The 27,203-nt window shown below is 39.4% G+C and overlaps 1 protein-coding gene across 5 annotated transcripts in view; it reads left to right on the top strand.

The window, feature by feature from the left end:
- Nucleotides 1-27,203, top strand: part of MYO1D (myosin ID) — a 384,603-nt gene that overhangs the window by 130,795 nt on the left and 226,605 nt on the right. For all 5 annotated transcript variants that reach the window (XR_001752521.3, NM_015194.3, NM_001411088.1 and 2 more), the window contains 3 exons: nucleotides 1,045-1,119; nucleotides 7,945-8,077; nucleotides 25,141-25,307. Coding sequence is in view for 4 of the 5 variants with exons in the window: in NM_015194.3 (NP_056009.1) it covers nucleotides 1,045-1,119; nucleotides 7,945-8,077; nucleotides 25,141-25,307 (375 nt within the window). In the remaining variant the exon portion in view is untranslated. The remainder of the gene's footprint in view (nucleotides 1-1,044; nucleotides 1,120-7,944; nucleotides 8,078-25,140; nucleotides 25,308-27,203) is intronic.

Genomic DNA, 27,203 nt, shown 5'->3' with positions numbered 1-27,203 from the left:
TCCTTTTTTGTAGCACAGAGAAGTAGAACTATCTGGAAGAGTAGCTTGAGATCAAATCACAAAGGTTCAGTCAAAAGTGACTTGAAAGTATTAAGAAGACCTAGGTCGGGGCAGGCAAGGAAATAATTTTGGGTATGGTAACCTTAAAGTACCCATGGGCAGCACAGCCTGAAGGAACTTTCTTGCAGGATTAAATATGTAAGGCAAGGAATCCGGGTTAGAGATCTGAGAATTGCTTATACTGATCTGATTGTCAAGAGAGAAAACAGGCACGAGAGCAGAACTGTAAGGTGTAGCTGTGTCTAAAGTTCCTATTTGCTTAATCTCCTAGCCTCTGTCTTAATCACCCAGAGTTGTCAATTACTTTTATAACCCCAAAAATGAATTCACTCCTCCTAGAGTCCATGCCAGTCACTGGGAGTAGTACAATTCTATTCCTACTCTTCTCACCAACTGCAATCTTAGCTGGACTTTCAAGACCTTACTCATCTCCCTTCCAAACCATCTATACTGGCCTCCTCATTCTCTCTCCAGAGCACCATGCATGTGCCTGCTTTCGTCACTCCATTTGATCTGTTTCCCTGTGTGATCTGCCTGCCTTTTTCTCCTCTGCTTATCCAATTATTACCATCCTTTGCAGTTCTTCTTGGAATCTTTTATCCTACCCTCAACACTGAGTGAACCTTAGGCAAGTCACTTGACCTCCCTACGGATGAGACTGTTAGTTCCTGTATGTTGCTGTTTTGCTTTTATCTTAGGAATGCTGGATGATAAATACAGCTATCTTTTAAAAAGTCATCTTCTTGAGGTAAGCAATAAACCAGTAGGGAATTATCATCTTAATCATAATAGTACTGATGAAAATTCCCTTCTATTTAGTAGGTAAATTTGGTATCCTTTAATACAGAACAAGATGAACAATATCAGCTTTTAGATTATTGATTGCATAATTAACGGTGGAAAGGCTTGTTGCCTCCTGGAAAAACTTAAATGTGGCTCTTGCTTGGTAAATGATACATGTTTTCTGTGATTTTTCCCTGTTAGCTATTCTGTCATTGGTTTTATTGACAAAAATAAAGATACTTTATTTCAAGATTTCAAGCGCCTTATGTATAACAGGTAAGATTGAAATTTTATTAATTAACTCTAGATTAAGCTCATTGACATATGTAATATATGCACATGGTTATATTTATATGCAATTTTAAGAGTTTCTGGCACATTTTCTTGTTCTGCTTTATCAGACTTAATAAATAGCATATAACTAACTTGATGATAAAATCTATAAATTTTGGGCAGGGACCTGCTAATAATATGATGTGCTTTGATTTCCCTTGGGTTGCCTCAGCTTCTGTGCTCACTGCTGCCAGCCTTCCAGCATCCCCTACCAGTATACTCAGCAGTCCTCAGGCCAGGCCAGTGTGATGAAGAAGTGTCAGGTGACATCTGGCCCAGCTAGAAGTTTTGCATACTCAGATTCCCACTGTAGTGTCTTCACCCCCAAATAAGAGACCGCTCTGATATCAGAGTGGCATCTAGTGTCAGTGAGCCCTGATAGTGACTGAGCAGACAGAATCTTCTCACAAACCAACAAAATGTGGAAAAGTTATGGCAAAATAAAACTAGGCAAATGATAACAAGTTTAAATCCAGTATGGATACTTTAAAAAGAAGGTCCATGAAGAAGAAAGAGGATTCCTGGTCATCTTTCTATGGGTTAAAGAACTGTATTCACTCATTTGTTAAGTCTGCTTAGTCAGTGCTCAGTAGATTATCAAAAATGTATTGAGTACCTTTGAGGCACACTTTCTTCTATGTTCTGGGATACAGCTGTGAAAAAATGTAGGCAAAGTCCCTGGCCTCATGGAGATTATAGTCTAGTAAAGGTGACAGTTAATAAACAAGGAAACAACTTTCAGTTTGTGACAAGTGCTGTGCAGAAAAATAAAGTAGGTAACAGATTGAAGGGTACAGATGAGGAGGGGCTGGGAAGGAATTATAGATAGGGTAGTCAGAAAAGGCCTCTTATAGAGGTGACATTTCAGCAGAGACCTGAATTAAGTGAAGGAGGGAGCCATGCTGGAGGAAGAGCATTCCAGGCAGAGAGAAAAGCTAGTACCAAGGCCACAAGGTGGGAATGAGCTTGAGTGTATTGACAGCAAGGCCATTGTGGCTGAAAACAGAGTGAGGGATGGAAAGAGTGACTTTAGAAAGGTAGGTAGAGCCTGGATCATAAAGAGCCTGAGTCCACATAAGAAGAAAGTATGAAGGGAAGCGTTGGAATTTATGATGTGATGTGATGTGATTTATGTTTTAAAGATATCACTGCTGCTACTACTATGTAAAATGCACACAGTAAGGGACAAGCATGGAAATAGACAGTAAAGGAGGCGATTTTAATAATGCAGGCTGAGGCTGGTCGCAGTGGCTCACACCTGTAATCCCAGCACTTTGGGAGCCTGAGGCGGGCAGATCACAAGGTCAGGAGATTGAAACCATCCTGGCTAACATGGTGAAACCCCGTCTCTACTAAAAATATGAAAAAATTAGCCGGGTGTGGCGGTGAGTGTCTGTAGTCCCAGCTACTCAGGAGGCTGAGGCAGGAGAATGGCATGAACCTGGGAGGCGGAGCTTGCAGTGAGCCGAGATCGCGCCACTGCACTCCAGCCTGGGCGACAGAGTGAGACTCTGTCTCAAAATAATAATAATAATAATAACAATAATAATAATAATAATGCAGGCTGAGGCCTGGGTGGTAGTGATGGAGATAATGAAAAGGGGTCAGATTGGGTGATATTTTGAAAGTAGAGTTGACAAGATTTGCTGGTAGAGACAATGTGTGGTGTGAGAGGAAGACGGAAATCAAAGGTGATACCTGAGCCTGATAGGAGAAGACAAGAGGAAACGCTAATTGGTTCAGGGAAATTAAGAGTTTTGTTTTGGATATGTTATGTCTGAAGTGCATTTTGGATACCCAATTAAAAGTGCCAAATCAGCAATTGCAACTATGCATCTGAATCTCAGGGGAAAGGTGGGGCTAGAGATATAAATTCACAGTCATCAGTGTATTGATTGTATTTAAAGCCATAGACTAGATGAGAGTATCTAGGGAGTGAGCGTAGTTTTAAAAAGAGAAGAGGTTAAAAAGACTAATTCCTGAGACACTGTAACATGTAGAGACAAACAAGGAAAGAGGAACTAGCAAAGGAAACTGAGAGCATGCCAGTGAGGAAGGAAGTAAACAAGGAATCTGGTGTCACAGAGGCCAAGCCAAGAAAAAATGTTTAAAGAAGAAAAAAACGATACACTACATCAAATCTTGTCAAAAGCAGGAGGGATGAGAGGACCAAGATTGACCATTGGATTTGCTAATGCCAAGGTCAGTGGGACTCTTGACAACACTGGTTTCCATGTAGCATTGAAGACAAATATCTCATTGATGTGAGCTCAAGGGAATACAGGAAATGAGAATATAGAGACATTGTGTTTAAACTGTTCTTTCAAGAATTGTTATCAAATGATTCATCTGTATGGATGTTGAAGCCACCAAGATTAATGATGGCACTATCATCAGTAAAAAGTTACAGAGACAGGAATGTGAGAGAGGATCCTTGGAAGAACTGGGCATGGGGAAAAGGGACTTTCAGAAGGGAATTTCAATGCTTAATTTATCAGGTAAGGTACATTCATTTTGAGGGACAAATGACAGAGTCCAGCATTTCTCTGTGCAGAAAATGTTAAAAGCTCAACTTAGAAAAAACAGCCTTATTTGGCCAGTAGTACCATCAGGGTGTGTTGCCAGTCTCTGTACCAAGAGGCTGCACGAGGTGATGTTTGTTAACTTTGTGAATGTACCATGGCCCAGAGGTTCAGCTGCTGAGAACAGCTTCACCTTTCAGTGGTGAACTAATATAGCCCAGGCTCTCCAGGCCAGTGTAGAAACCAAACAGCATGTGGATTTATTTCTAGTGGAAAATCTAACAGTAACATGGAATGGAATACAGTTGTCCCGAAGTATCCATGGGGGATTAATTCCATCTGGTACCCTCCTCCACTGAAGATACCAAAATCCATACATGTTCAAGTCCCTTATATAAAATGGTGTAGTATTTACATATAACCTACACACTTCCTCCCAGATACTTTAAATCATGTCTAGATTACTTACAAAACCTAATGAAATGTAAGTGCTATGTAAATAGTTGTTGTATTGTTTAGAGAATAATGACCCCTCAAAAAAGTCTGTACATGTCTAGCACAGGCACAAACATCTTTAAAAAAAATTTTTTTTTTAATTTACTTTTTTTTTTTTTTTTGAGACGGAGTCTCACTCTGTCGCCCAGGCTGTAGTGCAGTGGCGCGATCTCGGCTCACTGCAAGCTCCGCCTCCCAGGTTCATGCCATTCTCCTGCCTCAGCCTCCTGAGTAGCTGGGACTACAGGCGCCCACCACCACGCCCGGCTAATTTTTTTTGTATTTTTAGTAGAGACGGGGTTTCACTGTGTTAGCCAGGATGGTCTCGATCTCCTGACCTCGTGATCCGCCCACCTTGGCCTCCCAAAGTGAAAAATATTTTCTATCCATGGTATATGTTGAATGTGGAAGCCATGGATATGGAGAGCCAACTGTAATTGTGTTCATGTAACAGGCTGTTTTTCCCTGTTGGAAAACGTGCTTGGGAAGTCAAATAGCAGTGAGAACTCTGATTCATTATTACCCATGGAATCCAGAATACTTAGTTGCCTGGTAAGCACAGAATCAGAACAAAGGAACTTAGATAAACCCAACAAATAAAGGCATCAGGCTAAGATGAATCCATTTCACAATAGGAATAGTTTTGCCAAAGGGGTGAAAGATTGAAAGTCTATTAAATGCAGCATATTGTGTATATTCCATAATAGGAAAGGCCTTGCCTGTGAGATGGGAAGTCTTGACTTTTTTTTTTTTTGGATAAAACCATCCTCCTAGATGGTATTGGAATGAGCCACCTTCATCTCTGGACACTATTTGATGCTTCCATGGCTAATAACCTTCCAAAATTTGAATCCATTTTTTCTTTGTATATGTTAATATAATGATTTTTCTTTTCTTTTTTTTTTTTTTTTTAGAAGTGGTATCCCAGTCGCCCAGCCTGGAGCACAGTGATGTGATCATAGCTCACTGTAACCCTGAACTCCTGGGCTCAAGTGATTCTCCCAACTCTGCCTCCCCAGTAACTGGGGGTACAGGCATGCACCACTACACCCAGCAATATAATTATATTTAAGCAATGTTCCTTGGATTCTAGTTCTGTAGACCTTGATAATATACACACATGTATGCATGCATGTATGTGTGTGTCTGTGTCTGTGTGTGTCTGTGTAAATGAAGGGAGGAAGGGAGCAAGCATTTTGCATTCCAAGTGCACAAACTTTTACTCTTTACTGCTGTCTTGTTAGCCAGATGAGATCTGCCTTACCTATTATACATACTGGGTCTCTGGAGGAGCTTCCCTTCTAAGATAAGGGTTCTGGTATTTAAAATATGTTGAAAACTATTTTGTTAATATTACATTCAGGCTGGGCATGGTGGCTGACACCTGTAATCCCAGCACTTTGGGAGGCTGAGGTGGGAGAATCGCGTGAGCCCAGGAGTTTGAGACCAGCCTGGACAACATAGGGAGACCATTCTACAAAAAATTAAAAAGTTAGCCAGGCATGGTGGCACGTGCCTGTAGTCCCAGCTACTTGGGAGACTGAAGTGGAGTATCACTTGAGCCTGGAAGGTCGAGGCTGCAGTGAGCTATCATCTCACCACTGCACTCCAGCCTAGGTGACAGAGTGAGACCCTGTCTCAGAAAAACAAAAATATTACAGTCATGACTTGGCCTGAAAGTTCTTTCTCTTTAAAATGACTCCCTACAACTGTTTGGATTCATTTTGTATCAATTCTGCTATTTAACGTATTATCTTATTTCCTTCATTTCCAACCTTTACAGTGTAGTACAGGAATAGTCTCCAAATATGGCCAACAGTGAGTAAGGTAGACAAAGAATTTGGAGTAGAAACTGCATAGACCAAACACCAGTGACTAAAAGACACAGTCTTTTAACATGTGTCGAAATTTTCAAAGTACACAAAGTGCAATTTTCTACTTTCTGAAAATTCTATTCAGTAAATGTTAGAATGGCATTCAGGCACCATGTGCACTGTAAGTTAAGAACGTTGCCTTAAATTATTTCTGTGCTAAAGATAAGAATGAAAAAGTTAAGGAAAAACAATATACATCTATGTAGTCATTTTGATATAAGTGTACAAATGGAAAATTATGGAATAGGACTAGAAAGTAATGAAACTGGGTTCATAAGCCACAGGTTATTGCAGCATTTTGTAGCCACTTTGACAGTAGTTGGCACTGCTTGCTGGTGATGGTGGGGGCTGGGAGTGTTGCTCTGTCTGTGTTCACAGACCCAGTCAATCCACACATTACCATTTGTCTTCTTCGCTCTGCGCTCATCTGCTCTTTCATCTTGCAGCTATTATTTTGAGCACCTACATACAGAAATATTCTGAGTGCTTTGGGGATCCAACTCAATTTTTAAAATTTTATATGAGGGAAAAAAAGTGGGTAAAATGTTAGCAGTAGTAAGAGCAATTAGCAATGAATGCTAATGTTAATTATTTTCTCTTCTCAACCCCCAATTTTTTTTTATTATACTTTTAGTTCTAGGGTACATGTGCACAGCGTGCAGGTTTGTTACATATGTATACATGCGCCATGTTGGTGTGCTGCACCCATTAACTCGTCATTTACATTAGGTATATCTCCTAATGCTATCTCTCCCCCTCCCCCCACCCCATGACAGGCCTTGGTGTGTGACGTTCCCCTTCCTCTGTCCGAGTGTTCTCATTGTTCAATTCCCACCTATGAGTGAGAACATGTGATGTTTGGTTTTTTGTCCTTGCGATAGTTTGCTAAGAATGATGGTTTCCAGCTTCATCCATGTTCCTACAAAGGACATGAACTCATCCTTTTTTATGGCTGCATAGTATTCCATGGTGTATATGTGCCACATTTTCTTAATCCAGTCTATCATTGATGGACATTTGGGTTGCTCAACCCCCAATTTTTTAAGAAAAGTTTTTTTCTGATAAAAGTTTCTAGGAAGCAAGCAACATTTTGAGTTCCAACTGCTTTAACATCAAAAGCACCCAAAATGAAACCAGAAAAAAAATGACAGTTGAGATCACTACACGTTTTTAAAAATATCTCCACAGAGCAAAATTATGAATATACAATTTTAACCTGAAAATTGGCCTGAAATGCATTTTTAGATTTGGATTGCAACAGTCCTAATGTCACATCAATAAAATATTGTAACTGCCAATGCTACCTACAGATTTGTTCACAATTTGAACTGCAGTAAAGGGATTTACGAGGGACAATATAAAAATGGTTATTTTATATTCCTACCTGTGTTTTTTTTTAAAGAGCAGGCTTTCTGTAGTGTTACCTGTTCTATTAATATATAAATTATTTGCTTTAATTCAAAGATATTGCCACTTTTATGTTTTCTGCTGTGACATTGAGGATCATTTTTCTACTAGTGGTTTGTCCTCATTTTCTAACCATCACAAAAATGAATTTGTTTTATATATGTATTGTAAGAGCCATATTGACCATTTGAGGGTCCTAGGTAGGTATAATAAGGATGTCACTTTAAAGAAGTTTAAATAATTTTTAAAATATGCTATAGTTTGGAAAAACATCTCAATTTGCATTGCAGTATCAGTCATTATTCTTGTAGCATAATTTTCTGGATGGAATCATCATTCCAATTAGGCCTTGTGAGTTGAATCTGTAGTCCAATTATGATTCTCAGGATACATTTCAGCAGAATTGCTTATCAGTTTTTATCCAGCTTATTTGAATGTGACATTTGAATTGTTTTTTCTGTGCTTCTCAGTTCAAATCCTGTGCTCAAGAATATGTGGCCTGAAGGCAAACTGAGCATTACAGAGGTGACCAAGCGACCTCTGACTGCTGCTACCTTGTTTAAGAATTCTATGATTGCTCTAGTAGACAACCTTGCATCAAAGGTAATTATTTTCTTTTCTAAATATCCATTTTAACTCATAGATTTCCTCTTGATGTATTATAAAGAATGTATGTATGATTTGCTTTTTAGGTAATCATGTAGATTGAAGAATATGTATAAAGTGAATGTTATAATAGAATTTTTATTCCTGCATTTTTAAAAATCTCACCTCAGTGGAACGATTGTTGGTGTCCTAGATTAGTATCTGTCTTGAATTTGAGCTTTTTATTCTACTGTCATGGTCAAGGGAAAAATCTTGGATTTGAAAAATATATAAGGCACAGCATGCCCAGCAAAAGGAACTTTAGCGCTGTGCTGAAAACAGGACCTGGCCAAAATAAATAAGTAAAGTCTTGAATTAAGTTGTAAAATGTACCATTTATATATTGTGTTTGAGTACAAAGTGGCCAGAGAGTTTTAAGAGGAAATTTAGGATGCAAGTATTGTCCTTAGGCTGTTTTAAATAATTGAAATATAAAGACGTATTGGCCTGGGTGTTGTGGCTTATGCCTGTAATCCCAGCACTTTGGGAGGCCAAGGCGGGAGGATCACTTGAGACCAGCCTGGACAATATAGTGAGACCTCCTTTCTGCAAAAAGTTAAAAAATTAGCCAGGCATGGTGGCATGCACCCACAGTCCCAGCTACTCAGGAGGCTGAGGCGGGAGGATCACTGGAGACCAGCCTGGGCAATATAATAAGACCTCCTCTACAAAAAGTTACAAAATTAGCCAGGCATGGTGGCACATGCCTGTGGTCCCAGGTACTCTGGAGGCTAAGGTGGGAGGATCGCTTGAGCCTGGGAGGCAGAGGTTGCAGTGAGCCAAGATCACACCACTACACTCCAGTCTGGGTGATAGAGCAGGACCTTGTCTCAAAAAAAAAAAAAAAAGTTGTATTATTGACAATTATTTGTGTTTTTTATTGTTTCTTTAAGGACTAATACTATTTGATAACTTTTGTCTGTTTTTTCCCTTAAAGAACATATTTCTACCCCTAACTGCTGCTGTTGGCAAGTTTGATAAATTAGGCAGCATTCTGAGCCATGTTATTTTTAGTTTCTTCATTTTTATCTTTCTCTTCTGGTGCTTCTCCTATGTAGTTTCTTCTTCGTTATCTTTTTTTAAAAAATCAACTTCCTCTCTAAGAATTTGAATCCATACTGTTTCTGGTTACTTCACTATAGATAAATTAGGCAAATGCCACAGGAACACATCTGTGCGGTCGCTTTCTATCTCCTTTTGTCAGGATTCTTTGGCCTCAAGTGACCGCATATAAGCACAATTTGTTGGCTTATATAATCAAACCTCCAGAAAGGCAGGGGTAAGGACACTGGCACTGGAGGCTGGAATGCCGTTAGGACTCTTCACTCTTGTATCTCAGCTTTTCTTTGCATGTCAACTGCAGCCTGCTTCATCCAGCAAGAAGAAAAGTGAACCTGGAAGGAAGACACAGGACACAAGAAACAGTTGAACACTGAATTTCATGAAAGACTTTTAAATATTCAGTTAACTACAGTTAGTCAATTAACTAGAAAAAGAATTGTTTTGTTTTCTAAACTTGGTAGTTAATGTGCCATGTAAAGAAATAAAAATTCCAGAACCTTCTATAATTTCTGTATCAGGAATTGCATTCACCTTCTAATGAAACAGATCCCTGAATTAGTAGCTTAAATAAGAGAGACATTTATTACTCTCTCCTATAAATGAAGTATAGAAGAAGGCATCCCAGGACTGGCATGGCAGCTCCAAAGTTATTAGAGACCCAAGTTCTTTCTGTCCTTCCGCTCTACCATCCTAGTGCTTGGCACCCAACCTCCTGGTCCATGATGGCAGCTGGAACTTCCTCCTTTTTAAAGAGACTTCCTGGAAGTTTGACACACTTTAGCTACACCCCATTTGCTATATAGAGTTGTCAGGGAAGCTGGGAAGGACATTTTCATTCTGGTCAGCAGTGCACTCAGCTAGCAATAAGAATTCTGTTTTAAAGTAAGAAAAAGATACTGGACATAAAGTAGGGAACTAGCCTAGCAATCTCTGCTACAGCTTCCCAATCCATGTGTGTATGGAGATCAGGGGAGAAGGGAGGGAGCAGAGATAAGCAGAAGAATATAGACAACTTATCAGTACAATAGAAGGCAAGAAGGTAAAGCCAGACTGAGAGGTTCTAGAGGACAGCAGAAAAAAAAAAAAAGAGTTGCATTTAGAACAAAATAATATGATAGAAATAAATCTAAATAATTGGTATTCATCATAATGTAAATAGACTAAGCAGACTAGATAGGTGGAAAATCCAGCTATATGCTCCTTAGAGGAGACACACATAAATAACACTATGCAGAAAGCTCAAAAACAAAGACGTAGAAAGATATCAAGCCACCTCTCACCAAAAACGGTTAAAAGCAACATTCATGTGAAAGAACATAGAATTTAAGAAAGCAAGTATTAATACAGATAAACTAGTGATATCAAAATTATCCAAGACAAGCCATGTTGAACTAACATGGTACCTAACAACATACCCATACTTCTTGTAAATTCTATAAAGAAAAAAAAAACCTGAAAAATTTTAAAGGAAAAATTGACAAGTCCACCATCATAGTGGGAGATTTTAAACCAGTGCTGTCAGAAAGATAAATGATAGATGAAGCAGACAAAAATGTTAGTGAGAATGCAGAAGCTTTGAAAACCAAATTTAAACTTTATCTAATAGATCAAAGGAACCCTGTACCCAGAGAATAGGAAATACATATGCCTTTAAAGTATACATCAAGGCCAGACATGGCGGCTTATACCTGTAATCCCAGCACTTTGGGAGGCCAAGGCAGGAGGATCACTTGAGGTCAAGAGTTCAAGACCAGCCTGTCCAGCATAGTGAAACCCTGTCTCTAATAAAAATACAAAACTTAGCTGGGCATGGTGGCCTGTTGTCCCAGCTACTTGGGAGGCTGAGGCAGGAGAATCACTTGAACCCAGGAGGTGGAGATAGCAGTGAGCAAGATGGTGCCAATGCATTCCAGCCTGGGCAACAGAGCGAGACTCCATCTCAAAAAAATAATAAAATAAAGTATACATGGAACATTTACAAGAATTGACCACATAATAGATGACAAAGGAAACCATTTTGGGTTCGTGTGTGTGTGTGTGTGTGTGTGTGTGTGTGTGTGTGTGTGTTCAGATGGAATCTTGCTTTGTTGCCCAGGTTGGAGTGCCATGGTGCGATCTCAGCTCACTGCAACCTCTCTGCCTCCTGGGTTCAAGCAATTCTCACACCTCAGCCTCCTGAGTAGCTGGGATTACAGGTGTGTGCCACCACACCCAGCTAAATTTTTTTTTTTTTGTATTTTTAGTACAGATGGGGTTTCACCATGTTGACCAGGTTGGTCTTGAACTCCTGATCTCAGGTCATCCACCCACCTCGGCCTCCTAAAGCGCTGGCATTGCAGATGTGAGCCACCATGCTCAGCCATCTCAACTATTTTGAAGAAGTGCATATACAGATACAGTTTTCATCTTCAAAGCAAGTAAAATAAAAATCAGCATTAAAAAAATGTAATATGTTTTGGAACTTTAAAAGTACTCTCCTAAACAGGTCATAGTTTGAAGAAGAAATCACAATGGAAATTATAAAATGTTAGGAAGTGCATGACAAAAAATTTGTCAGAATTTATAGAATACTGCTAAAGTGATCCATTTGTTGCCTTTGTAAAATAACAAGAAAGACTGAAAAGTTAATGAGCTAAGCACAACTTAAGAAGCCAGAAAAGGAACTCCAAAGAAAACCTGAAGAAAGAAGTAAGAAAATATTTTTTAAAATAGTAAAACTTTAAAGTAATGGAACAAAAAAGTAATCAATAAGACCTCTAATAAAGCTGATAAATTAAAAAATTATGAACAAAAAAAGGGCTATTACTGTGCAGACATTATGGAGATTTTTTTAAAGTATCAGAATATTATGGATAACTATATGCCAATGAATTTGAAAATGTAGATGGTTTTCTAGAAAAAAAAAGTTATCAAAATTAATTCAAGAAGAATGGGGCAACCTGAATATATCAGTAACCTTAAAGAATCCGAATAACTGATGATAAATCCACCTTTTCCCAACGTTGCCAAGGACATCAGATCTAGATGGTTTTACAAATCAGTTTTATAAAACCTTTGTGGAGCCATTAATCCCTATCATATGGAAACTGTTTTGGAGGGTGGGAAGAAGAGAGGCAACTACTCAACTCATTTAATGAGATTAATATTACCTTAATACAAGCTTAATATGAGAAAATAAAATTAGAGATCAATTTAACTTAGAAACACAGATGTAAAGACCTCAAAAATATATGAATAATGCATTTTCTGGCAACATGGTGAATGAGGTGCCCACTAAAGCCAACTGAAAACAACTAAAATGTTAGATAAAATATAAAAATCAACATCTTGAATCTAGCCATGAACTAACGAAAAGTAAGAAATATACAAGCCAGGAGCTGAGTGAATACAGAAGTTAACTGAGTGAAGGAAAAAACCCCTAAAGCTGCCCCTCACCCTGTGGGGATTTGTTGAAGTGTGTAACTTTGAATATAGTTATTCAAGGCTGGGTCCTTGAAGTGAAGCCCAGGGCCTGCCCAAAGTAGGGTATCTAATAAGGAATTCTGTGCACACACACACACACAATGGTGAGTCTTTAAAGGGCTACATGTAGAGTGAACTAGAAGTAATTCCCCATTATCAGTAAGGAAAACTGCCTGTCTTGGTCCTTGGCACTCAGCCATGGGTGGAGGGGGTGTGAATCTCTCTTGGGAATTTATAATCATAAGTGAGCTTTTAGGTGGTTTGCAACCCAAACTCATACTATCTGGGTAGCTTGAAAAAGCCTCAAACTGACAATTTGATTAAAGGTGGTCCAGGTCTTATAATTGCCCCAGGCATCTGAAAAAAGCAAGTAAAACTGTTTTCCTTAGGAAACTATCTTCATACTGTCACAGAATCCTTGGGGTGTGACTTTTCTCGCCAGAAACCTTTGTGCCTGGTGGTGCCTTTGCCTGAGTTTTGCTCAAGCCTGCCAGGCTTGTTCCACCTACTCAGCCTCGCAGGCTGCACTCAGCTTGCCCTACCAGCCTGGATTCCACACTTGCCAAGGGTGAGCCAGGCACAGAATGGCAAGGGGAGTGTGAATGAGCGAGCATAAGGTCCAGCCACTGCACACAGCCAAGCACACAGGCTGCAGCAGAGCGGGCAGCTCCAGGTGCCGGCACAGACACTGGTTCCCTGTGAGGCTGCGGCTGGACCAGGCATACTGCAAGCAGCTTCCATGGCTGGCACTGGGGAATGCAGTGGTGCCCAGAAGCTTGGAAATACCAGGAACTGCAGAGCCCCAAAGAGTATATCAGCCCTGGCTTGGGGAGCTCCTAGGTCTGGGCTCCCTGAAGGGCCACAGCTCTTCTCCTTCTCTCTTCACTCCTCGTCACCCACAACGTGGCAAGCAAAGGGCATGTTTCAGCCCTGTTTGTGTTACAGCTCTTTTAGCCCTGCCATTCAGTGGATTCTGAGTTGTTGTCCTGTGTCCAGGAAGAATGAGGTATGCATACAAATAGAGGGTGAGCAAGGCAAAGAGGTGCTTTATTGGGTGACAGAACAGCTCAGAGGAGAATCTCAGTGGGTAGCTCCTCTCTGCAGTCAGGTCCTCCCATTGTCTACTCATCTCTCAGCATAGAGGAGACCAGCAGTATGAAGCTAGCTCCTCTCTGCAGGCAGGTCGTCCCATCATCTGCTCAGCTCTCAGCAGAGAGGAGACCCATGGTGGGTAGCTCCTCTCCACAGGCAGGTTATCCCATTGTCTGCCTGAGTCTGGCTGAGTCTGGGGTTTTTATGGGCTTCAGAGGAGGGGAAGTGTGCGCTGATTGGTCCATAGGCAGGCCTGGAAAAAGCACTATAAGTTCTCACTCTGGACCATGGAACTGGCAGCCTGGCCCAAAGGTGGGATTTCACCAGCGACCCACCCCTTTCTGCCCAGGCACCTGTCTGCCTCCTGCCACCATTAACCTGCCATCCACAGCACCCACAGAGTCCAGACTGTTCGTGCCAAGGGGTGCCTCCAGGCCCACACCAAGCTGCCCTCAGCACCCCGTTGGCCTTCCGCTGTGCTCTTTGGCATCCAAAGTCTGAAGGGGGCCAAGGTAGCAGGGGGCTGGCATATCAGCACTGCCCCAAGTGTGCGCATACCCAGCTGGGTTGCAACAGTGCCCAGGCTCAGCCTCAACTTTGCTCTGAAATCAGAGTGGGCGCCAAGACCAGGGAGAGGCCAGACGTTGGGAGCAGCACATCCAAGCCAACAGGGGCAGGGGAGCTTCCCATGTCCCCGGGAGTGCAGAGGTACCCAGGTCTACAGCCATGGCTGGGTGGTTATGGCTTCACCCAGGAGGTTGGGGCTCCTGCCTGCTCCCAGCCCCCAAGAGCACAGGGATGCCTGGGTCCTGCACCGTAGCTGGGCGGCCACAGCTGCACCCAGGAAGTGCGATGATCCCACCCAGCCAACTTGGAAGGGGGCGGGGCTTCCACCTGTTCCTGGCTACTGCCAGCTCCACGGAGCACACAACCCCAGATGCACCTCCCCCACTGCAGCCAGCATCATGGCAGCAGCTGCTCCAGATGGGCCACCAATACCAGACCTTAAAGAATTTCCACAAAGCTCTAAGGAAAATTAGCTCACAGTAAAGAATCACTACAAGATACTATAAGTAAAAGGCAAACTAAACAACAAACAGCAGGTTCAGACTCATGAAAACTTCTGATACAGAAATGATCAGAAAGAGAATATGAGAATGCTTAATATACATCAAGAAATGAAAGGCCAGAAAATGAGAGAGAACAAGCAACTAGACAATTGATAGAAATAAAAACTAAGTAATTAAAATTAAAAATTCAATGGATAGGTTTAACATCAGTTTACATAAAGCTGAAGAGAAAGTAGTGAAATGAAAATAAGAACTGAAGGATTATCCAGAATTCCACTTAGACTAAGAAATGAAACATATAAAAGAAACATTAAGACACATGGGGGCTGGTGGCTCATGCCTGTAATCCCAGCACTTTGGGAGGCCGAGGCGAGCAGATCACAAGGTCAGGAGATCAAGACCATTCTGGCTAACACAGTGAAACCCTGTCTCTACTAAAAATACAAAAAAATTAGCCAGGTGTGGTGGCATGCACATGTAATCCCAGCTACTCAGAAGGCTGAGGAAGGAGAATCGCTTGAACCCGGGAGGCAGAGGTTGCAGTGAGCCAAAATTGTGCCACTGCACTCCCGCCTGGGCGACAGAGCAAGACTGTCTCTGAAAAAAAAAAAAAAAAAAAAGACACGTGGAAGAGAAAATAAAGTGGTCAAACATGTATCTTATCAGAGTTATAGAAGAGAAAATGGATAGAACAATATTTGAAGAAATATTCCTGAGAATTTCAAGAATATTGAAGGACTTAACAGAATCAGGAAGCCCAATGAATCTGAAGTTAGAAAAATTAAAAGAAATCTGCATATAGACACCTAGTAAAATCCTAGAACATTAAAGACAAAGAAAATATCTTAAAAGCAGCCAGAGAAAAGACAGATTAGATTCAAAAGTATGACAATTAGGCTGAGAGAAAATAAACGTAAACCAAATTCTATACCCAGGGAATACATTTTTTCCAGAACAAAGGCACAATAAAGAATCTTTCTGAAAAACAAAAACCAAAAACAGAGAGTTTATCAACCTCACTTAAGGAGATTCTAAAAGATATTCATCAGACAATAGGAAGAGTATACTAAGTGAAACTCTGAAATGCGAAAAGAAAAGAAGAGCAAAGAATTGGTAAATACGTAGATGCATGTAAATGAACTCTGTAAAATAATATTTTGTGGAATGGAAAATACAGATTAGAGTTATCACAGTAACAATTGCATATCAATTAGAAGAGCAGGTAATTGTAATTCCAGTGTTTAAGGTCCTTAGTTCAGAAAAAAATAATAAAAATATTGTTTAACGTTCAACTCTGATGAGTTAAAAATACATGTGAAAATTTTCTAACATAATCATTGAAAATAGTAGAAAATAGAGGTTATAAATTCCAAACTAGTAGAGAAGGAAAAGAAAAAAAAAAACAATAAAAACAAAGAATCCTCCCTGCCCCCAAAACAAAAACATAAAAAAGAAGAAACAAAAGAACATGGGAAAGCTGGATATTTGGTAGAAACAAATATAAATATATTAGTAATTACATTGAATGTAAATGGATAAAAACCAATTCAGACTGAAGAAAAAGAATCCAGATATATGCTATTTATTAGTGACACCCGTAAGGAAATAGAACAACTGAAAGTTTATATCAGTTCGACAGTCTGGGATCACCTTTATCCCATTTCAGGGCCTGTAGTAGCTCAGTGTTGGGCTGTCGTCCATTCACCTTTATCTCCCTGGTTTAGCTATTCAGGATTCCAGACCAAACTACAGTCCCTCATCCAAGACCCCAGGTTCTAACTTTGGTACCCAAGTCCCATGAAAGCCAGAAGCTATGTTCAGCCTTATGACTGTCTTTTCCATATCAACAGTAGCTTCTAAGACAAAAACAACCATGAGGTGTAGGCTCACTCAACTTGATTTTAGTTTTCTGATTTTGGCCAGGTCTTTCCTCACTATCTTATTAGCTCCGAGATGCACTTACCAAAACCTTTTCCCCATATTTTGTCTAGCACTTTTTTTTAGTAACTTCATCAGGAAGATTGATAAGTATTACCTAGTGCTCCATTACCAGAAGTAGACGTCCCTGGCTCCTCACTTTCACAGAGTCCATAGTGCCTTCAGTTCATGACTTGTATCCCCACCCAGATTATAAATCTTTTGAATCTAGAGAATGGGTTTTGTTAATTTTATGTATTAATACCTAATAAGGTACTAAAACAGATTGTCAGTAAATTATTAAATGAACTTGAATTTGCTATGACTATTTGACAGTGTTCAAAGCAAGTTAAATAGAGGTATATTTAGATAGTGTAGTCTAGCTAATCTATATACTGATTGGTGTACTTTCACAAATGGTGTTTTTTTTCCCGTAAAATATATAGGGAGAGACAGGTGAAAAAGTTCAAGAGAATAAGATCACTATTAACTTTTGCAATTTAACCTTTATAAGACACTCTGAATTTGCCAAATTTAGGATTTCTTAGGCTGAGTCAGTCTGGATATTTATAAATGAGAGAGGAGGCAGCATTTATAAATTGAGACAGAATGCTGATTAAATATAGAGAAAGTATTCCCACTATATTCCTTATCCAAAGACTTTTATATCACTAAACAGGATGAAAGGGCTTCCCCCCATTTCTTAGTTGGTTGTTAGTGTCTCATCCAATATTGCCACTTCCTATGCGTAATCACTCAGTACTGGTAATAGTCCATTCAACTATTTTCTGGTTAATAAAGTTGTATTAATACTCTTCATATGATGCCTTATAAGATTGCGTTGCCTACATGATTTTATACATTATTCAGTCCAAAATATTTTCCAAATCACATTGTAATTTCCTTTTTGACCTAAGGTTTAGTTGTTCAGAAGTATTTTTCTTAATTTTCAACATATAGGATTTTCTCATTATCTTTTTGCTCTTGATTTCTAGCTTAGTCTTATTTCATCAAAAGACATACTCTGTGTGGTTTCAATTTTTAGAAATTTGCTAAATTTGCTTTATGTATATGTTTTGTTTGTCTTTAAAAAATAATTTGCAGCCGGGCGCGGTGGCTCATGCCTGTAATCCCAGCACTTTGGGAGTCCAAGGTGGGCAGATCACAAGATCAGGAGTTCAAGACCAGCCTGGCCAACATAGTGAAACCCTGTCTCTACTAAAAGTACAAAAAATTAGCCAGGCATGGTGGTGTGCACCCTGTAATCCCAGCTGTTCGGGAGGCTGAGGCAGGAGAATCACGTGAACCCGGGAGTCCGAGGTTGCAATGAGCTGAGATCACGCCATTGCACTCCAGCCTGGGTGACGGTGTGAGACTGTCTCAAAAAAAAAAAAAAATTGCATTCAATATTCTATACAAGTCCATTAGGTCAAGTTTGCTAATAATATTGTTCAACTTTTCTATTTTCTTCCTGACTTCTTTGTTTTGTAAACATTGAAAGGTGTTTTAAACTCTGCCTTGATTCTGAATTTATCTGCTTGTCCTTATTGTACCTTTGATTTTTTGTGTAAATATTTAGAGAATTTGTTAGGCTCATTCAAGTTAGAACTGTTATATCTTCCTGGTGTTTGAGTCATTTATCATTATGAAACATCTCTATTTCCATATTGCTTTTTGCCTTGAAATCTGCTTTGCATGAATAATATAGCTATGCCAGCTTTTCTTTTGGCTAGAGTTTGCATGGTATATCTTTTTCATCCTTTTACTTTCAATCTTTCTATATCCTTATGTTTCAAGTGTGTCTCTCATAAGTAGCATATAGTTAGCTTTGATTTTTTTAATCCAGTCTGACAATTTTTGTCTTTTGAATAAATCATTTAGTTCATTTACTTTTAATATAGTGTGTGTTGCATTTAAATCAGGCATCTTGTTAATGCTTCTATTTGACTCTTCTGTATTTATTTTCTTTTTTTCTGTATTTCTTTTAGATTGATTATTGTGGGAGAAAGGTAAACAAAACTTTATTCCTTCCCCTTGACAGCTTAACCTCAGTTAAATTTCTAGCTCTGTTCCTCTGGCAACCTAGTAAGACATGTATCACTTAACAACATTACTTATGGTCAGAATTATCCCTGTCAGTAAATTGCATCTGTCTTGGGAGAATGATGTCTGGTGGGTTTTATATACTTTGGGTTTGCCTGAGCTTAGTGACTCCTGTATTAGGTCTGTCCTTTGCTGGACCCTTGAAGCTATGTCTTCTGAGCTGTTCTAAGAGATATTTGGTCCTGTGGGGCATGAGGCTTTTAAGCCAAGTTCACCTCGCACACATGTCCAATGTGGATCTCATCTCCTTACACCTAAGCTGTCACTTGACTGCTGTGTGGACTGCTCCAAGGACACTGACGCTACCTGCTAGCAAACCGTGTTCTTGGCCTTTTGAAGAGATTGGTGCCAAATGTGGCCTATGAGTATTCTGAGTCAAAATGTTTAGTTAGACCTAAGATCATACTCTTTCCCCTCCACTGGTGTTGCAAGTATTTTTTATCATTTTATTTATTCTCTTTATTATTTTGGAAGATTTACTTAAATACTGTTATAGTGGTTACTTGACTTATTGCAATATCATTCTTGAATATAAAAATCTAATGTTATTTGGTACTTTTGCCTCCTTCCTAGGAAATACAAGGCCAATTTAATTCCATTTACCTTCCTCCTAACTTGTATGCTATTTTGGTCATGTATTTTAATTATATACCAAAATAACATGCATGTATTTTAATTATATACCAAAATATATTTGGTCATGTATTTTAATTATATACCAAAATAACATGCATATACATTTTTAAAGCCAGTAAGACATTATTATATCTATTTAGATATAAATATATTTATTATATTAGATATAGATGTTATATCTATATTATCTGTATCTATATTACCTATAGCTATTTATACCTATATGATCTATATTATCTAATATCTATATCTATTATATCTGTTATAGCTATTAGATGATATAGATATAATATATATCTATTTAGATTGTAATTTACATCTATTATATCTATTTATTCACTTGTTTATCTTTTTTCTCTTCCTATTTTTTTAAAATATATCATGGTTTTATTTTGCCAAGTTACTCATGAAAAGCATGACTTTTTTTCTTTTTCTTTTCTTTTTTTTTTGAGACAGGGTCTCACTCTGTCACCCAGACTGGAGTGCATTGGCATGATCTCAGCTCACTGCAACCTCCACCTCCTGGGTTCAAGCAATTCCTGTGCCTCAGCCTCCCAAGTAGCTGGGACTACAGGTGCACGCCACCACACCCAGTTAATTTTTGTATTTTTTGGTAGAGATGGGGTTTCACCATGTTGGCCAGGCTGGTCTCAAACCCCTGACCTCAACTTATCTGCCCACCTTGGCCTCCCAAAGTGCTGGGATTACAGGCGTGAGCCACTGCACCCAACCCCTATATTGTTGACCTTCCATCTGGGATCATTTTCTTCTGCCTTAACCTCACTCTATTATATTTGAAATCTGAGGGTGACAAATGTTGTTTTTGTTTACCAAAAAATATTTCTATACTGTTTTCATTCTTGAAGAATATTTTTGCTCAGTGTAAAATTCTACGTTAGCAGTGTCTTTTGGCACTTCAAAGATAGTGTTCCTTTGTCTTCTGGATTTCATAGTTTCTTTTGAGAAGTTAGCTGTCAGTCTGTCTCTTTGTTGCTCCTTAAGGTAATCTTTTTTTTCCCTCTGGCTGCTTTGATTTTCAGAAGTTTCACTATGATGTGCTTAGGTGTAGATTTTTTTTTAAATATGCTTGTAGTTTGTAGAATCTCTTCCATTTGTAGCTCCCCTTTTTTTTAATCAGTTTTAGCAAGTTCTTTTCAAATATTTCTTCTGTCCCTTCTGTCTCCTCTCCTTTAGAACTCCATCTCACTGTGTCTTCTATACCTCTTAGCCTCCCATCTTTATTTTCCATCTTTTTATCTATCCATGCTTCATTCCAGAAAATTTCTTCTCACCTAACTTCTAGTACATTCATTTTTTTTTTCTTCACCTATTTCTTTTTTTTTTCTTTAAGATGGAGTCTCGCTCTGTTGCCCAGGCTGGAGTGCAGTGGCGCGATCTCAGCTCACTGCAAACTCTGCCTCCCAGGTTCAAGACATTCTCCTGCCTCAGCCTCCTGAGTAAACTGGGATTACAGGAGCGTGCCACCATGCCCAGCTAATTTTTTGTATTTTTAGTAGAAACGGGGTTTCACCATGTTGGCCAGGCTGGTCTCAAACTCCTGACCTCAAGTGATCCACCCACCTTGGCCTCCTAAAGGGCTGGGATTACAGGCATGAGCCACCACACCTGGCCTTCTTCACCTACTTCTAATCTACTCTTGTACTGATCCACTGAGTTCTTAATTTCCTTTATTATATTTTTCAGTTCTAGGTTTCCATTTGGCTTGGTTCTTTTTCATAGTTTCTGGTTCTATACAAAATTCTCATTATTGTCTTTTGTCACCTTGAACATGGTAAGCATAGTTATTTTAATATCTCTATCTGATAACTCCAGTGTCTGGATACCTGCAGGTTCGTTTATTTTTTTATTTTGTTTTGCTGTTTCTAATTCCAGTTTACTTGGCTACTTACATGTCTGGTTACTTTTTATTTTGTTCCAAATATTATATTTGCAAAATTATCTGCAGAAATAATTGGAGGCCCAAGTTTATGTGATTTTTCTTCAGGGAAGAGTTAATTTTGCTTCTTTTAGTTACCTAAGAACAATAGTATTCCAAATCAGCTATTCCAATTTCAAGGACTTAGGTGATTCAAAGCTGAATTATGGGCTCTGTAAAGGACTGCCTCCTTCTACTTCATCCTTATTCCTGTTGGTGGGATCCTAACCCAAAGTGAGAGGGGTTTACCTGTGTCCCCTCCTTTTCAGGCCTTGCTCGCTAATCTTTGTCCCACTAGGCCCATGAAGCTGCCAGAATCACTACTCAGATCCCATCTACCTTCTCTGGAACTGGCAAATTTCCCCAGGAAAAAAAGGCAGCCTCAAACCTGGGTTCTCCTCCACGGTTTTCTTCCTCTCCTGGATTCTGACCCAGTAAATTCTCCACTGTGTTGTTAGATCTCCCATGTCTTCTGGCAAACGTTTTGTTTATTTTGTTTACCTATTCTAGTTAACCCTCAGCACGGGTGTCAGTTTAAATTACCTAGTCTGTCATTACTCAAAGAAAGCCCCCGTATCTTCATTTCATAAATTAGCTAATTAGTTCCAGAGAGAATTTACAGCCAAGACTCAAGTGTTCTGATTTTGTACAATGCTTATTCTGTTACACTGGTGCCAAACATGCAGATAAATCTGGTAGCATTTTGGCATTTACTGTGCTCAGTGCCACTTTTCTTGGTTTATTCACCAAAAAGTAAAGGCATTCTATTCCAGCAAACTAGTAGAAAATCCTTAAGTAAACAGTGCCTCCGCCCGACTTCCCCATCCTATTAAGTTTTTTAAAAAACTTACTATAAGCCATTTTTTAAAGTGAGCTACAGTTGTTCCCCCAATATAGATGCTCCACTTGAAAATCATTACAGATTTAGTGAACGTTTGATCACACATCACTATTTTTAAAGTAGGATTCTGCTTGTGCTTTATAATAAAATATACCAAAATTTAATATCTAATGAAAGGGTTGGTATTCCAGAATAGGGAAGAAGTGTAAGTTATCTATCAATCCATAACAAATCACTGTAAAATATAGTGCTTAAAATAATGGTTCTTTGTCATGATTCAGGGGTTGACTGGGCAGTTCTGCTGGGCTCACCAAGCAGCTGCAGTCAGCTGGGGCGAGATAGGCTAAGATGAGCTCACTCAAATGGCGTGCCTGGATGACTGAGCATCTTTTCTTCATGTAGTCTTTAATCCCGGGCTTCTTCACATGGTAGAAGTGGTCCAAGAGGGCAGGCAGACCCTCTCGAGGATGGACTTCCAGAAGTAACCCAGTGTTGCTTCTGCTGCATTCTACTGGTTAAAGCATGTCACAGGCCAAGCCAGATTCGAGAAGTGGTGTAGAGACTCCACCTCTTACTGGGAGGTGGTGCAAGATATTGAGGTCATGTTTTTCCTTCTGCTACAGATGACAAGATGAAAAAGGGCAGGTGTACTAGGCAGAATAGTGGCCTCTGCATAGCAACAGCAACTCTCTAACATCAGCTAAGTGTCCTACAATTCAATTCAGTTCTTACACTAACTACCCAGAGTTAGCATTAATCTAAAAAATTAAAGGACAGGGTCCCTAATAAGACTCTCCTTTACTTCAGACACCAGCTGCAAGTGAGGTCCACAGAACACCTGCCCTTATATATAACTTGGGTATAAATTTGAGGATTCCCATGACCCCCCTCTTCAGGTTTGATAATTCACTAGAATGATTCACAGAACTCGGGTCCAAGCGCAGGAGCTTCTGTCCCCCTGGAATCAGGGTGCACCACCCTCTGAGTACATCCATGTGTTCACCAACCAAGACGCCGTTGTGAGGCTCAGCGTCCTGAGGTTTTGTTTTTTTTGTTTTATCAGCGTTTCATCACAAAGGCATGATTGACTAAATCTTTGGTCACATGATTAAGCTTAATCTTTAGTCCCCCTAACCTGCCCAGAGGTCAGGCAGCTGTAAGTTCCAGCACATGACGGAGTTTTCTGGTGACCAGCTCCCATCCTGAAGCTATCTAGATGCCCAGCTATGAGTCACCTCATTATCATAACTAAGACACTCCTGTCACTGAAGAAATTTCATAAGTTTTTGAAGCGCTATGCCAGAAACCAGGAACAAAGGCTGGTAGATAATATTTTTTATTCTTACTATTACTATACCATAGTCATCCCAGATGTCCACATCCTAATCCCCAGAACCTATGAACATGATATGTGCTGTGGCAAGGTGGAATTAAGGTTGCAGATGGAGATAAGGCTACTAATAAATGGGCTTGAAAATAAGGGCTTATCCTCCATTACCCAAGTGAGCCCAGTGCTATCACGAGTCCTTCAGTGGGAAGGAGGGAAGCAGAAAAGTCAGAACGAAGAGGTGACATCATAAAAGACTCAACTGGCCATTGCTGGCTTTGAAGATGGAAGGGGGCCACCAGCCAAGGAATGTGGGCAGCCTCCAGAAGCTGGAAAATAAGAGAAAATGGGTTTTCTTCTGGAGCTCCCAAAAACACCAACCCTGCTGACACATTGACTTTTGACTCAGTTAAACCTATTTCAGACTTCTGACCTCCAGAAATGTGAGATAATAAAACTGTGTTGTTTTAATATACTAGATTTATGATAATCTGCTATAGCAGCAATAGGAAACTAATACAGCAGGGCCTAGAAAAAGGCAAAAAATGGCATTACCTTTCACCATGTAGGACAGCATGATAAATGTACTATCGGAGTTTCTTTTTTTAGGTGTTGAAAACTGTTATTCTGTTCAAAATGCAAGTAAATTTACATCCTTCAAATCTCTCCTACTTCTTAAATTATTTACTACCCGTTTCTACTTCTAGCCCTCAGCAGAGCTCAAAACTGCCTAATTTAACTACAGAGTATTCTGTATCTTAATCAAAGTGCATCTGTGTGTGTCTGATAGATAACAGATTCAGAGAAGAAAAAGAAATTCTTTACACTTGTAGGATACATTTGACCTCATTGATTCATCCAGTGATAATTTATTCATTATCTTCAGTGTACCAGGATCTATGCCAAGCATGGTTTTATATTTAAAAGGGGTTATGATCTAATATGTAGTATAAAACTTAATTGGCACAGAGGGAAGGATTGCTAGCTGAGCTCCTTCATAGAATCAGTGATGCCTGTAGGTGGTTTTGGAATTTCTCTACTTACCCGTGAAGTTTAATCTCTTTTCCGAAAGTGCAAACTAATGCAATAATATTAATAATGATGGCTGACACTTAAGGAGCACTTACTATATACCAGAGCTGTCCGTCCCTATCATTCCTTAACATAATATTAACATTAACAAAGAATGTCCTTTTACATTCTCCATCCATTTTCATCGTTAGCTGCTGCCTTTTTCTATTGAATTACTCCTTCAGCTGCTTTAACCTTGTTTTCATAAATACACAGAAACTCGATCTTTACGTCTCTGTTATTTACTTCCTAGTTTTATCCCTTTTCTACTATTCCTAATAAACCCTAAAACATAATTAAACAAAAATTTGGCTGAATGCATGAGAACTTCTAACCTTGAATTGAAGGAGAAAGGAAGAATAACTACTTTATTCACAAGTGTATGCCTGAGAAATTAGAGGCACTGAGCTTAACTTGACACAATTAACACTAATTACATGTTAGTGTCCCTAGCTGGGAAATTTTCTCCAGTGAAACTTACCATTTGCTGATTTATTTCTTTAGGAACCATATTACGTTCGTTGCATCAAACCCAATGACAAGAAATCTCCACAGATATTTGATGATGAACGCTGCCGGCACCAAGTAGAATATCTTGGACTACTGGAAAATGTGAGAGTGCGTCGGGCAGGATTTGCCTTCCGCCAGACATACGAGAAGTTTCTTCACAGGTGAGAATAGACTCGTCAGAGAGGCCTAGTTCACTGAGAATAAGGGAGTCCTCCCCGTACAATAGTGCATCAGCACATATTAGGCAATCTATAAATATTTGTTGGGTGAACAAAAGAGCTGAGGAAATTACAAATATGAAAGACTTTCCCAGTTTCAACATGAGTCCCTGAATTCATGGTTTATGGACCATGAAAAAGTTTCAGCCTTTTGGGAGGAAATACTGGCATCATAGCATAGCAGAAAGAGCACTGATCTGAAATCACATTGTGGGTGGAATTCTGATTATGCCACTTACTTGCTGCTTGATCATGGGCCAGAAATTTAACTTCTATGACCCTGTTTTTGCATCTGTGAAATAAGTAAAATAACATTTCATAGGACTGTTATGAGAAATTAACCTAAGTAAAAAGCCTAGATTCCTGGTACATCATAGCTATTTAATTAACACTGCCTATCATTACTGGTGTCAGTAATTATCATAATAATAAAATATTAAGGAGTTAAGCATGGAGGACCTGAAATCAGTCTGCCTGGTTTGATTCCTGGCTCTGTCATTTTTCAGTTGTGTGACTTTGGACAAATTACATACCCTTTTCATGCCTGTTTCCTCATGTGTAAAATGGGGATAATAATAATAACTACCTTGAAGCATTGCTAGAGGGTTAAATAAGATAATATATACAAAACACTTGGAATAGTAGTACCTCCGTAAAGTAATCACTCAATAAGTGTAATATATTGTTGCTATTGTTAATTTATTGTTGATAATGTTGCTTAATGATACCATGTCATATAAAAAAATGATAATGATAATTGATAACTTGGAATCACAAGAATGCTTTAAATTCCATCTGTTTTAAAACACTTATTGAACATTTTCTATAATCTCGACTATAGTTTTCCCCCCAAAAATGAATAAATATAAATTTACATAAAATATAAATAAGAAAAATGCAGAAAATTAAAATACTTTAGATTAGTTGGTCAAAAAAGAGTCTCTAAGGAGCTGACAATGACAGGAAGCAGCCAGCCATACAAAGATCAGAGCAAAGAGAAGATGGGGCAGAGGGAACAGCCAGGGAAAAGGCTCTATTGTGGTAGTAAGTGAGGCATTTTAGATGCCAAATGTAGTCCATTGTGGTTGGAGGACACTGACAGGACAGTGGTGTGAGATGAGATCAGAGAGATGGACAAGAGCCAAATCATGTCAAACTTTGTAATCAGACTAAACTATTTAGATTTTGGCTAGGCGTGATTTAAAAAACAAAGAAACAAAACCATTGGTGGATTTTAAGCATGGAATTACATAACCTTATGGATGTCTTAAAGGAATCACTGTGGCTACTGTGTGAATAGAAGGCAAGGAGATGTTGGCCAGGCGCAGTGGCTCACATCTGTAATCCCAGCACTTTGGGAGGCTGAGGGGGGCAGATCATGAGGTCAGGAGATCTAGACCATCCTGGCTAACAAGGTGAAACCCCATCTCTACTAAAAATACAAAAAATTAGCCGGGCGTGGTGGCGGGCGCCTGTAGTCCCAGCTACTCGGGGAGGCTGAGGCAGGAGAATGGCCTGAACCTGGGAGGCGGAGCTTGCAGTGAGCCAAGATCATGCCACTGCACTCCAGCCTGGGTGACAGAGCGAGACTCCGTCTCAAAAAAAAAAAAAAAAGGGCAAGGAGATGTTTAAGGATGCTATTGCAGGAGTCCAGGAAACAGGGCTTGATGACAGTGCCTTCAGTAAGGGACTATTATAGATATGAGAGCAGTGGACAGATTTGGGATATGTTTGAGGGATAAAGTTGACAAGACTCTCTCATGGATTGGATATGATGAAATAGGAATAAAGAGGAATGAAGGATGAAAATTATATTTTGGCTTGAGCATCTAGGTAAGC

Source organism: Homo sapiens, chromosome 17, assembly GCF_000001405.40.
Source record: "Homo sapiens chromosome 17, GRCh38.p14 Primary Assembly".
Classification (NCBI taxonomy): domain Eukaryota; kingdom Metazoa; phylum Chordata; class Mammalia; order Primates; family Hominidae; genus Homo; species Homo sapiens.
The sequence above is the reverse complement of the archived record's forward strand: the minus strand, read 5'-3'. Positions and strand labels throughout refer to the sequence as shown.